The 13,618-nt window shown below is 39.9% G+C and overlaps 1 long non-coding RNA gene across 1 annotated transcript; it reads left to right on the top strand.

The window, feature by feature from the left end:
* The first annotated feature begins 1,629 nt into the window (after positions 1-1,629).
* LOC124901946 (uncharacterized) lies at positions 1,630-3,517 on the top strand. The gene is made up of 2 exons (XR_007060912.1): positions 1,630-1,776; positions 3,051-3,517. It is a non-coding gene; the product is annotated as an uncharacterized LOC124901946 (long non-coding RNA).
* Positions 3,518-13,618: the final 10,101 nt, after the last annotated feature.

Raw genomic sequence — 13,618 nt, 5'->3', positions numbered from 1 at the left:
ATATTTCCAAAATTTTGTCATTGCTCAAAACATTTTGGGACTCCTCTTTTATAAATGTCATCATAATATGCTTATGAACCATTTTGTCTTAGCCTATGTGTGCTACTATAACAAAATATCTCAGACTGGGTAATTTGTAAACAATAAAAACTTATTTCTCATGGATCTGGAGGCTTGAAATCCAAGATCAAGGCACCAGCAGGTTTGGTGTCTGGTAAAAGTCCCATCTCTCTGCTTCTAAGATGGTGCCTTATTGCTGTGTCTTCAGGTGGGGGAAGGCAGAAGGGCTAGAGAAAAAGGCCTAAGTTAGTTACCTCCAGCCCTTTCATAAGGCAGTAATCCATTCATCAAGGTGGAACCCACATGGCTTAATTACTTCCCAAAAGGCCCCACCTCCTAATACCACCACAAATAAATTTTGGAGGGGACACATTTAAACCATAGCACATCCAAAACACAATCTGAGTCCCTAAAAAGGACATGAACTCATCCTTTTTTATGGCTGAATAGTATTCCATGGTGTATATGTGCCACATTTTCTTAATCTAGTCTATCATTGATGGACATTTGGATTGGTTCCAAGTCTTTGCTATTGTGAATAGTGCTGCAATAAACATATGTGTGCGTGTGTCTTTATAGCAGCATGATTTATAATCCTTTGGGTATATACCCAGTAATGGGATGGCTGGGTCAAATGGTATTTCTAGTTCTAGATCCTTCAGGAATCGCCACATTGTCTTCCACAATGGTTGAACTAGTTTACAGTCCCACCAACAGTGTAAAGTGTTCCTGTTTCTCCACATCCTCTCCAGCACCTGTTGTTTCCTGACTTTTTAATGATCACCGTTCTAACTGGTGTGAGATTTGCATTTCTCTGATGACTAGTGATGATGAGCATTTTTTCATGTGTCTGTTGGCTGCTTGTCTTCTTTTTGGAAACCATCATTCTGAGCAAATTGTCGCAAGGACAGAAAACCAAACACTGCATGTTCTCACTCATAGGTGGAAATTGAACAATGAGAACACTTGGACACAGGATGGGGAATATCACTAACCAGGGCCTGTTGTGGGATGGGGGGAGGGTGGAGGGATAGCATTAGGAGATATACCTAATGTAAATGACGAGTTAATGGTGCAGCACACCAACATGGCACATGTATACATATGAAACAAACCTGCATGTTGTGCATGTGTACCCTAGAACTTAAAGTATAATAATAATAAAAAAACATTAAAAAGGAAAAAAATCCACTATCTCCATAATGCCATAAAATACTCCCCAAATATATGAAATTAAAAAATACATATCCCTATATTAAGTAATTTGTTTAAAAGGATATGCTTAACTTGGTGAAAAAAGTCACATTATCCTTATTTTTATTATTTTCTGTGAATCTTATACCAATACCGTAGACCATAAGCCTCACTTAGTTGGATGATATTTCAGTGTTATATGAAAAGAAGGATAAAGGTTGGTGCATTCATTATCTCTCATGTAATCTACATAAGGCTTCTACAGCCCCCTTGCCCATCTCCTTCTGTCACCGTCCCTCTCCTGCTATTTGGCTCTGTTGCCCTGGGAGTAGCCCCAGTTGAGGACACAGATGTTCCTTCCCCACTTCTCTGCAGGCCTGCTGAAGCTGTGAGAAAGCTCAGACTTCCATCCCTACATTGTTGAGAACTGGCAATGTTACAAAGAAGAAACCCCTCAAGACTATCCGACCAAACATTTCGTCTCTGAGAAATGTTCACTCACCCCAGGGTGTGGAACTGAAGGTAAGTCAGTCTATCCAATTGATCAAGAGATATTTCCTGGGGGCCTCCTATAGGCCTGTTACAGTGTTAGGCACTGCAGATGTAGAGATACAAGACATGGTTCTCCTTCCTCCAAGAAACTCAAAGGATAGAGAGGTGTGTCTGGCCAGGGCCAACCATTCTGTAGGTCTGATGAGCACAACTCAAAATTGCCTCCTCTGGTTGTAGGTAGAGCCTGGAGTGCCCAGTTAATGTTTCAAAGACAAGTTCATGAACCACCCATGAAGCTCATGCCTAGTGATGTCCTGTGCCCACCCAAGACTCCTAATTGGGGCACCCCTGTGAGGACCTGGCAAGCCAGTGGGGTGGTGAAGCCTCTTAACTGATGGCTATGTACAACCATATCTGTTACATAGCCTCGTTACTGGTTTGAAGGTAAACAACAATAAAAGAAACTTAAATCCTAAAAAAAAAAAAAAAAAACCACAATCTGATTAATTTGACTCACTATGCAAGCCTAAAAGTGACTTTGGGACATTTCCAAATACTAAAACATAGCATTTCTTCATATACAGAAATTTGTGGATGGAATTCTAAAAGGAATGTTTTAATTTTTTTTGAGAAATGGCAATATTTTTGGTATAAGCATAATCCAAATATGTCGAGGCTTGCTGTCCTTCCTTCCTTCCTTCTTTCTTTTTTTCTTTCTTTCTTGCATTCTTTCTTTCTCTTTTTTCTTTTTCTTTCTTTCCTCCTTCCTTTCTTCCTTTCCCTTCTTTTGTTCTTTTCTTTTCTTTTCTTTCTTAATGTCCCTACTTTAAAGTTACAGCAACTCACTTTTGTCCTCATAGATCCAAAAAATTTAATCTGTAACTAGATATTGGCATATGCATGATAAAAATGTTGATTTGTCAGCAATTCTAGACAAAGGAATGAAGAAAGATGGGAGAGTTCAATATCATCCTATGATCTGTATATCACTACATTTCTTACTGCATATTGGATATCGATTTCCATGACTTCTATGACGTTCCATATTGAAATGACTTCTTCTTTTGCTTTATTCTGAGAGCTGTTATATGGAATGAATTCTGTATAAGACATTCTATCTTCTCCCCAAACAAATACAGACTTGGGCAGTTTTCCATTTTTAAGAGAGAAACTAAAATTATTTCAAAACTAAGTTTTTATTAACATCCCTGCCAGATAAAAAAAGGCCAGGATCATATGCAAATACGGCTGAAAGGAATGTTGGTCATTTGAATTTTAAAGTAGGCGTTGAATGTGTTTCATAGGAGTATTGGTGCCAGTGTCTCCAGACAAGCCTTCTGCAGGAAGCCCTGTGCTTTACCACGAGAGTTTTCTCCAGGGTCAGAGACAGTGGAAGTCGCACTGAAACACTGGAAAACATTACATGCAAGAAAATTCTTAGAATTGAATTCTGGTGTGAGTAATGAAATATTTCCCTTTGCAAAAAAATCAATTTAGTCATCAGATCAAAATCTGAACCAGTCTTGTTTATAATGGCTATAAAAATGTAAATCAAGCAATTGCTGACTTGGTTTCTTACCTGTCCACCCATTGTATGTCATGAACAAACTGAAATGCAGTCTCTCGCTTTAGAGCTAAACAGTGCTATTTTTATGGAGGAAGTCCCTGAATTTTGATGTGAAATATTTTTCTCTAAATTCTGCCATCTGGGAAAGCTTTATAAAATCTTGTTTTCTAACACACCTATCAATAAAATATAATGCTTAAATCAGACAATAAAATATGATTATTTATATTTATATGTTCTGTCAATCTATATGATGTAGCAGGAGTTCTGTGTCCATCAGAATCTCTTTTCCAGTCCTTTCTACTTCTGGATCGCACATGAGGCTGGTCCCAATCCACACCACTGAGAAAATCCTGGGGGAGATAAAGAAGACAGAGAAAGATTTAATCCCAGGATTAACTTGTATTTTAAATATGTTAAATTCATGATACCATGTAGCTAAATGACATCTCTAAAGTATGTCATCCTGCTTGATTCTGGCATGAATATGAGGGTGGATTGGGATGGTGAGAAGGTAAGAGAATTATATATAATTTCTTATTAGACCTGAAGGATTACATCTGTTCTCCTTTCCTTCATCCCATGACAAATTTATTAGTTCTCTTCTTGATGTGACATAGTCATTTAAATTACACATCATCATGATTCCAAAAGCAGAAAGCTCTGAAAATCAATTTTTTTCCTCAGAAAATTTCAGTAAATTTATAGGGAGGCAAAATCTGGTCTGAAGTAACGTGAGTCTTTATCCCAGTTTGGTGCAATATTAATGACTGATTACAAGAGTAGTCAATACATTGATTACCATTAATATTGGATTACAAGAGTGCCACCTCAGAGCTCCCTGAAGAAATTATGTAAAACATGGTGTATGCACTGTATTAGTTTTCTGAAATTTGAAAAATGTTAGGTTCAAAAGCATGAGGGCCCAAGGATTTGTATATGGGACTGTGGACCTATCATAAAATTTGGCCTTGTTGTGATAGATGGCTTATATTAGAAAATTGAATATGGATGTAAAGAGAACAATATTCTGAAACTTCTTTTTCTTTTACAGTAAAAGCAGAGATGTAAAGTACATTTTAATGGGTACCTAATATAATTATTTTCTCCACCTGATCTGCAATTGAAAGAAATAATTGGGCAAATTTAGACTGACACAAAAAATAGTTATATTTAAATGTACTTTTGATGCTTATGTTGACCTGAATTTCTGTTATCTTGACACATTTAAAAAAGGTTTCTTAAAGACAAAGATTCTTTAACTGCTGCTTGATTCCTGGGCCTAAATATTTGCCATTAGCAGGGCCCAGTGTTTAGAATCGTCCAATTATTTCTCTTACTTAATACAGGTAATTATTTCTTAAAAGCTATTGTCAGAGAATACAACTCTTACAGTTTGATTGCAATATCAAAATTAAAAAGTGTCAATCATATGGCTGGATTCCTACAAACTTCATGAAGTGGAGTTGTGTTTATGATCCACAGTCTGGTCTTCAGCTTCAAGAGTCCAGAAACATAATCTCAGGGACCCAGTCTCAGCGACATACTTATAATCATCAGGCTCACAAGGCACTGCTCAATAAGAAAATTAAATGTACTCTTGTATAATAAGATACTCAATTGTAACATGAGTGGTAATTTTCTTTCTTAGAGTGATCAGTGCCTTTTTTTCCTGTAGAAAAGGATAAAGGGGAAGTGAAATACAAATAAAAGGTTGCTGAGTGCATATAAAATCAGCACAAAGGGTGTGGCTGCTCCTGCTATGGCAGTCTGATGCACTCATAGCTGCCATAGGGACATAATTCCAAATCCACAGGGTACTGAATTAGCTGGTATTTGTCTGCTAACACTTGGGGTGTTCTGCCTCCCTTTGTTCCTTGTTTTTTTTGCTATCCCATACAGACAACTTCCATTCTTTTGAGACTTTCTTCCTCTAACTATTGGGATAACTGCACTGTTAGCCCACCATATTACCTGCAGAATTGTAATAAGAAAATACGGCCTTTATCTTCTTCCTGGGGAGATACTGGAGATATTCTGTCTCCTTTCATTATGGTAATTTTCTTTTTTGACACGTTTATAGAGCTATAATTTACATAACATAAAACTCAACTACCTAATGTGAAAAATACAATGTTTTGAGTATATTATTGAGTTGTGCAATTATCACCACAGTCTAATTTTAAAACATTTTTATCACCCCAGAAGGAAATCCTGTATCATTGATAGTCATTCATTATCTCCCACTCCCAGACCTAGGCAACCATGAATGTCCTCACTGCCTCTGTAGATTTGCCTGTTCTGGGCATTTCATGTGCATGGAATCATGTGATATGTGGTCTTTTGCAATGGGCTTCTTTCCCTTACCATGATGTTCTCAAGGTTCATCCATGCGGTACCATGTCTTCATTAGTACTACATTCTTTTCTCTTTTTTTTGGCTGAATAATATTTCACTGTGTGGACATACAACATGTTATTCATCTGCTTAGTAGTTGGTGGACATTTTGGTTGCTTCCACTCTTGGGTATTATGTATAATACTGCTAAGAATACTAGTGTATAGGTTTTTGTGTAGATACAGGTTTTCATTTCTTTTGGATATAACAAGGACAGGAATTTCTGGATCATATGGCAACTCTACATTTACTATTTTGAGAACTCCAAAACTGTTGCTCCAAGTGGACCAGCAATGTATGAGGGTTATGCTTTCTCTACATCTTTTCCAACACTTTTATGGTCTATATTTTTTATTGTAGCCATAGTAGTGGGTGTCGAGTATGATCTCATTGTGGTTCTGACATGCATTTCCCTAGTGACTAATGATGTTGAGCACGTTTTCGTGTGTTTATTGGTCACTTGTATATCTTTTACAGAGGTCTGCCTATTTAGATCCTATGCCCATTTAAAAACTGAGTTACTTTTAAAATGATTATGAGTTGTAATTGTTCTTTGTATATTCTGGATTTATCTTTTATCAGATATATAAATTACAGATAGTTTCTCCATTTTGATGACTTTTCTTTTCAGTTTATTGATGGCATCATTTGGCTAAAGTTTGTCAATTTTTCTTTTCAAAGAGCCAACTTTTGGTTTTGTAGATTTTCTCTAGTGTTTTTAGAATTCCTATTCCATTTATATCAGCTCTAACCTTTATTGTTTCCATCCTTCTACTAGTTTGGAGTTTTGTTTGCTCTACTTTTTCTAGTTTCTATGATGAAAGTTTAAACATTTATGGCTATCACATAGTTTAATTCTGTTTTTGTTTGAGAACATACATTAAATTGTCAGGTACAGTGAGTTCCTCTGCAAAGGTGAAACTTCTTAGTTCTTTGTTTTCAGATTCAACTTCGTTGTACCTTCTCGCCCCCAGTTACCTGCTCTGTAAACAACTATTCCTGCTAGTCCTTACCTGTAACCCACCTTCTCCATTCTTTCTTGTTTCTCAGCTTAATTTGTAACTAGCCATGCCCTGACATGCCCAGACATGCCTTGTACTTGTTCTGTAGAAAACCCTTCCCACCTTAGTAATGAACAGTCTCTCCATCCCCTCCTCTCTTAGCAAATTGTGCATTTACCCCAGTTGGAAAAGTTTAGGTCTTAGCCAATCGGGATAGTTTAGATTGTGTGGTCTGACTCCAGCCAATGGGGAAAGGACACAGAAACAGAAGCTGCGTTAGAGATAAAAACCCTTCTTTCCTTTGTTTGGGGTGCTTGTGTGATCATGACTGATGCAGGCAGCACCCTTCTGCAGAAGTAAATTTTGCCTTGCTGAGAAATTCTCTGTTTGAGTGCTTGTTCTCTTCGTGACTTCAAGCTCTTATTTCCAACAATTTGAGGCTTGTCCAGGATCTCATTCTCCTCAGAGAAAGGGTCAGTTGGTCCCCTCTTGTGAGGAGATGCATCCTGCTGCTTCATTGCAGCGGCCTCAGAAGTGAGGGATCAAGACCCACCCAGTGTGATGAATAAACCTGGGCTCTCAGCAACCTGAAAAGAAAGGCCTACAGATACTGTGGTTGACCAGGTAACTCTGTGCACAGACCAAAGTAAGAAAAGTCATGGGGGCAGTGAAGTATTCCTTGGTGGTCGGGACATCTTGAAGATAGAAAGTACATGAGTGAGACACACAATTGAGTGCGAAGCAAATGTGATCCTTATCTGTGGTTCCATAGTCATCTCATATGGCTTATGGCAGATTCCTGTTGTGAGGTTTATACTGACATGCCCAAGCTAAGAGGGACTTAAATTCCCCCCAGGGAAGTGGCCAGAGATGGACAATGTGAAAGAAAAGGAGCGAAAGAAACCTGTAGTAGGGGGGTTGAGCCTCCAGGGAAAGGGTGCAAGAAATCTCTGGTAAGAGAGGTTGAGCCCCACAGACTCAGGGAAACACCGAGAAAACATGAAGGACCTTAGGGAACTGATAATTAAAGGGATTTGGGAATCAGTACCTCAAACCCAAAATATTTCCTGAGCATTTAATATAAAGCAGGGAAAAGGCGAAGGGTCCATGGAGTTTGTTTGTTTGTTTGTTTGTTTGTTTATTTGTTTATTTTATTTATTTTTTGAGACAGAGTCTCCCTCTGTCACCTGGCAGGAGTGCAGTGGCACAATCTTGGCTCACTGCAACCTCCACCTCCCAGGTTCAAGAAATTCTCCTGCCTCAGCCTCCCGAGTAGCTGGGATTACAGGTGCATGCCACCACACCCAGCTAATTTTTGTATATTTAGTAGAGAAGGGGTTTCACCATGTGGGCTGTGTTTGGCCAGACTGGTCTTGATCTCTTGACCTTGTGATCTGCCTGCCTTGGCCTCCCAAAGTGCTGGGATTACAGATGTGAGCCACTGTGCCTGGCCAAGTTTTTAAACAAACTCATGGAAAAGATGAAAAAAATATGCAGGCTTAGACATAGAGGATCCCCTTAGGCAGGGGATGTTAAACCTCCATTTTGTTACTAGGTAGCCAGATATCATGAAGAAATTAAAAAAAGAAAATTGAGAACCAGAAAGACTGGCCTATAGAGAAACTTTAGAGGGAGGCCCAAAAAGTGTATGTAAGAAGGGATGAAGAAAAGCAAAGCAAAAGGCAAAAATCTTACTGTCTGCTCTAAAACAAAGTATCCAAGGCATCAAACCCTGTAAAGAACTAAGGCTCTACTCGCTAGGCCATATAAAGGGTATGAAAAAGCAAAGCAAGGGAACTTAAAAATAGGGAGAGTAAAAGGGCAAACAAATGTTTCAAATGTGGAAGAATAGGTCACTTCAAGAGAGAATGTCCTGAATGGGAAAAAGAAAAAGAAGTCATCCACTTATGGCCTTTGAGGAGGAATAGGGAGCTCAGGGGCTCTGTTTCTTTTATCTCAAGTCCCACCAAGAGCCCTTGATAAATTTAGAGGTAGGACCCACTTCTTTACCTTTTTAATCCACTCACGAGCAGCTTACTCCTCTGTTTGTTATACTCCATCTGGTGTACTTTGTTCAAAACTATCCTTAATCAGAAGCCAGGAAGGTGGCTTACTGACTCAAGGATTTTAAAGTATGAGGCTATCTTATTAGAAAAGGATGATTTAAGCTTAACCACTAACAATTCACTTAACCCTGCTGCCTTCTTAACAGGGAATCCAAACCCAGAGACCCATGAGCACAAATGTTTAGATCTAATCAGTTATCAAACCAAAGTTAGACTAGACCTAAGTGAAACGCCTTTCCAAACAGGGCGTCACCTTTCTATAGACGGCTCTTCCCGGTTTATTGAAGGAAAAAGGCATAATGGGTACTCCATAGTTGACAGGAACACCCTCACAGAAATAGAATCAGGAAAATTACCAAATGACTGGTCCACACAAATGTGTGAGCTATTTGCCCTAAATCAAGCCTTAAAATTTCTACAAAATCTGGAAGGAACAATTTATACTAACTCCAACTATGCCTTTGAAGTAGTCCATACCTTTGGAAAAATATGGACTGAATGAGGCCTTATTAACAGTAAAGGTCAAAACCTAGTCCAAATAGAGTTATTAATACAAGTGCTACATAATCTCCAGCTGCCAGAAGAAAGAGCTATTGTTCATGTCCCACCATGAGGACACCAAAAAAACCCCTCTTTTGAAAGTCAAGGAAATAATCTAGCTGACCAAATAGCCAATCAAGCTGCCTCTTCCCAAGCTGCATCCATTTTCCATCTAACCCTTCATCTTCCCCCTCCAACAACAACCCCCATCTTCTCTTATGCAGACCAAGAAAAACTAACAAAATTAGGAGCTAAGGAAAACCTAGAGGGAAAGTCGGTACTACCAGACAGAAGGGAAATGTGGTCTAAACCTCTTATGAGAGAAATACTATCACAACTTCATCAGGGAACTCATTGGGACCCTCAAGTGATGTGTGATGCAGTTCTTAGGGTTTATGGATGTATAGGAATCTACACTCTTGCTAGGCAAGTCACAGATAGTTGTATAGTATGCAGAAAAACCAATAAATAAAACTTAAAGACTATTCAGGGAAAGAAACCCAGGGTTGAGGCCATTCCAAAGTGTCCAAGTTGACTACACAGAACTATCCCCAGTAGGCCACCTTAAATATTTACTAGTCATAGTAGATCATCTCACCCTCTGGGTAGAGGCTATCCCTTTTTCAAATGCAACAGCTAACAATGTGGCCAAAGCCCTGTTAGAACATATCCTACCAAGGTTTGGTTTAACAGAGAATATTGATTCAGACAATGGGACCCACTTCACTGCCCTCATCATTAAGAAGTTAACTCAACCATTAGGAATAAAATGGGAATATCATACACCATGGCATCCGCCATCATCAGGGAAAGTAGACAAAATGAATCAAACCCTCTATACCCATTTAAACCAAACTGATTTTAGAAACCCAGCTACCTTGGACAAAATGCATTTCTATTGCCTTTTTAAGAGTCCAGACTGACCCTTGAAAAGACATAGGCCTATCCCCTTATGAAATGCATTATGGGTTGCCTTACCTAAACTCTACTACTGGCCTTCCTACTTTTGAAACAAAAGACCAACTTCTCAAGAATTATATATTAGGGTTGCCTTCCACCCTCTCCTCCCTGAGGATTCAAGGTCTCCTGACACAGACTCCACCCCTCAAATTCCCGGTTTACCACCACCAGCCTGGAGATAACGTCCTTATCAGAAGTTGGAAATAGGGAAAGCTCAAACCTACATGGGAAGGACCTTACTTAGTGCTTCTAACAACTGAAACAGCAGTCCAGACCAGTGAAAAGGGTTGGACTCATCACACCTGGGTCAAAAGAGCACCATCTACTTCAGGACCCACCCCAACCACAGTAACGTTGAAAAGAACAGTTTAATTTGTCTCTTCCTCCTTTTCCTCTTCTCCCCAGCTACCTCACATCTTATTATTAATATAACTAAGTCTAGTTCCCCTCAAACCATTACCTTGTCTTGTTATGCCCTGTGGAGATCTCCAAAGCCAAAGGAAGCTAGCCTCTTTAGAAAAGTACCTTTGCCCTTCCAGGATAAATAGAACTGCCTATAAGAGTGACTCTTGCACCAAACAAGCACAAGGCAGTTATTGGAAGTTCTGTTTTGGCTGGGGAGATGTGGTCTGTACCACCAAGTATCAAGGCTGGACCTCTCCAGGAGGAGGTTGTGCTAACCTAAAGCCTTACTTCCACTTTACCAAAGAGACAACTCCCTCTAATTGTAAACTCCAACAATGTAACCATGTGCAAATCTCTATTACTTTCCCCACCTCTACTGACACTAACCCCATTATAGGTTGCTTCTATGGCCTAGGAGCTGATGTTCCTGGAATAGACCCTATAGGATCCTTTGAGATGTGCTTCATTGCTCCTCCACCCCCTTCCGTTCCTCCTCCTTCTGAACCTTCTTCCAATCAAACAGCTGTTCTTTCAATACCCACTGATAAAACTATAGTAGACATTGTAGAAGTTAAAGATTTAAAGCAAACTTTAGCGATTGAAACAGGATACCATGATGCAAATGCCTGGCTGGAACGGATTGAATATTCTGTTCACAGGTTAAATGAAAGTGACAGTTATGCTTGTGTGGCAGGGAGGCCAGAGGCCCAGATAGTCCCCTTCCCACTTGGGCGGTCTTCTGACTGACTAGGCATGAGCTGCATGGTGAGTCTCTTTCAAAACCCCACAGCCTGGGGCCACGAGGCATGTAAGAATCTCTCACTGCTATTCCCTGAAGTTAAAGGCTCTGTGGGTCAGCCCCAAGGGCCCTCTGGTCTCCAGCTTTTGATGTTAATTGTACCTCATGTCTCTCACGACAGGGGGAAAGATTAACGTCCCTCAGAGACCCAAAAGAATGCAGTGAAACCAAGCCTTTCCGAGAGCTTACTAGTCAAGTTGCCCTTGTTTATTCCCTAGGGGATGCGTGGTGGTATTGTGGTGGACCACTGTTGGGTACTCTGTCAAAGTAAATGGAGAAGCACTTGCGCTCTAGTCCAATTGGCCATCCCTTTTACCCTGGCATTTCATCAACAAAACAGGAAGGAAAATCACAAAAAAAGAGGTGCCCCTCCTGGGTCTTTTGACCTTCATGGTTATGTAGATGCCATTGGAGTTCCACGAGGGGTGCCAAATGAATTTAAAGCCCAAAATCAAATAGCCGCAGGATTTGAATCTGCATTGTGCTGGTGACCAACTATAAACAAGAATGTAGATTGGATAAATTATATTTACTGTAATCAACAGTGATTTTTCAATTACACAAGAGATGCCATTAAAGGAATAACTGAACAATTAGGCCCTACCAGCCAAATGGCCTGGAAGAATAGGATAGCCCTTAACATCTTGACATGATATTAGCTGAAAAAGGTGGAGTATGTATCATGATTGGGACCCAATGCTGTACTTGCATCCCTAATAACACTGCACCCGATGGAACCATAACAAAGGCGCTACAAGGTCTTACTACCTTAGCCACCAAGAATTACTTAGCTGAGAATTCTGGAATAAATGACCCCTTCACTAGTTTAATGGAAAAAGGGTTTGGCAAATGGAAGGGACTCATGATCTCAATCCTCACCTCCCTTGCAATTGTAATAGGTGTACTCATTCTTGTAGGATGCTACATTATACCCTGTGCCTGTGGATTGGTGCCAAAACTTACTGAAACAGCTCTCACTAAAACCTTCTCCATTCTCCCCTGCCTTATTCAGATAAACTGTTACTTTTAGAAAATCAAGAAGAACAACAAAGCCAAAATATGTTAAATAAATTTGAAGAAGAAGAATTATAAAAATCAAAGGGAGGAAATTGTCAGGTACGGTGAGTTCCTCTTCAAAGGTGAAACCTCCTTGTTCTTTGTTTTCGGTATCAACTTCCTTGTATGTTCTCACCCCCAGTTACTGCTCTGTAAACCACTATTCCCACTAGTCCTGACCTGTAACCCACATTCTCCATTTTTTCTTGTTTCTCAGATTAATTTGTAACTAGCCGTGCCCTGACATGCTCAGACATACTTTGTACTTGTTCTGTAGACAACCCTTCCCACCTTAGTAACAAACAGTCTCTCCCTCTCCTCCTCTTTTCACAAACTGTGCATTTACCCCATTTGGAAAGGTTCAGGTATTAGCCAATCAGGATAGTTTAGATTGTGTGGTCCGACTCCAGCCAATGGAGAAAGGACACAGAAACAGAAGCTGTGTTAGCAATAAAAATCCTTCTTTGTTTGTTTGGGGTGCTCTTGTGATCATGACTGATGCAGGCAGCACCCTTCTGCAGAAGTAAGCTTTGCCTTGCTGAGAAATTCTCTGTTTGAGTGCTTGTTCTCTTGGCAACTCTGAGCTCTTATTTCCAATGTATTAGTCAAGTATGGTTGGAGCCATATGTGGCTTGGATACTACTTTTGCCCTATGTTTAACTCAGGACTTCGAGCTCAGAGATTCCCTCTCTGATCATTCTCAGAGGTTAGTGTTGGGCAGGCACATAATCTTCCTGACTGTCAGACATGACTGTAGCTTTGGTTGGGCTCTCTTTGTTTTTTTTTCCACTAATTTCCCCATTTACCTTTTGTTCTTCTCTGTGGTATCACCCCCAACTGGCAGCCTCCACTAATTGCTACTGATTGCTTTATTAATTTTTACATTGTCCTGGGACATAAATTGTTCTGTTGTCTGATCCAAATACAGCCAGGCCCCATGGCAGGGTAGGGTATTGCTCACCTTTGGGGCTTGGTCTGACCCTCCTCGAGGAAGAATTTCTGTACTGTGGAGCAGAAGGTAGGCTGCAGTGGGGATGAGGATTCACTCTTCACCAGCTAATCCATCTAGATCCTCCTTATG

This window comes from Homo sapiens, chromosome 8 (assembly GCF_000001405.40).
Source record: "Homo sapiens chromosome 8, GRCh38.p14 Primary Assembly".
Taxonomy (NCBI): domain Eukaryota; kingdom Metazoa; phylum Chordata; class Mammalia; order Primates; family Hominidae; genus Homo; species Homo sapiens.
This window is presented reverse-complemented; position numbering and strand designations above follow the sequence as displayed.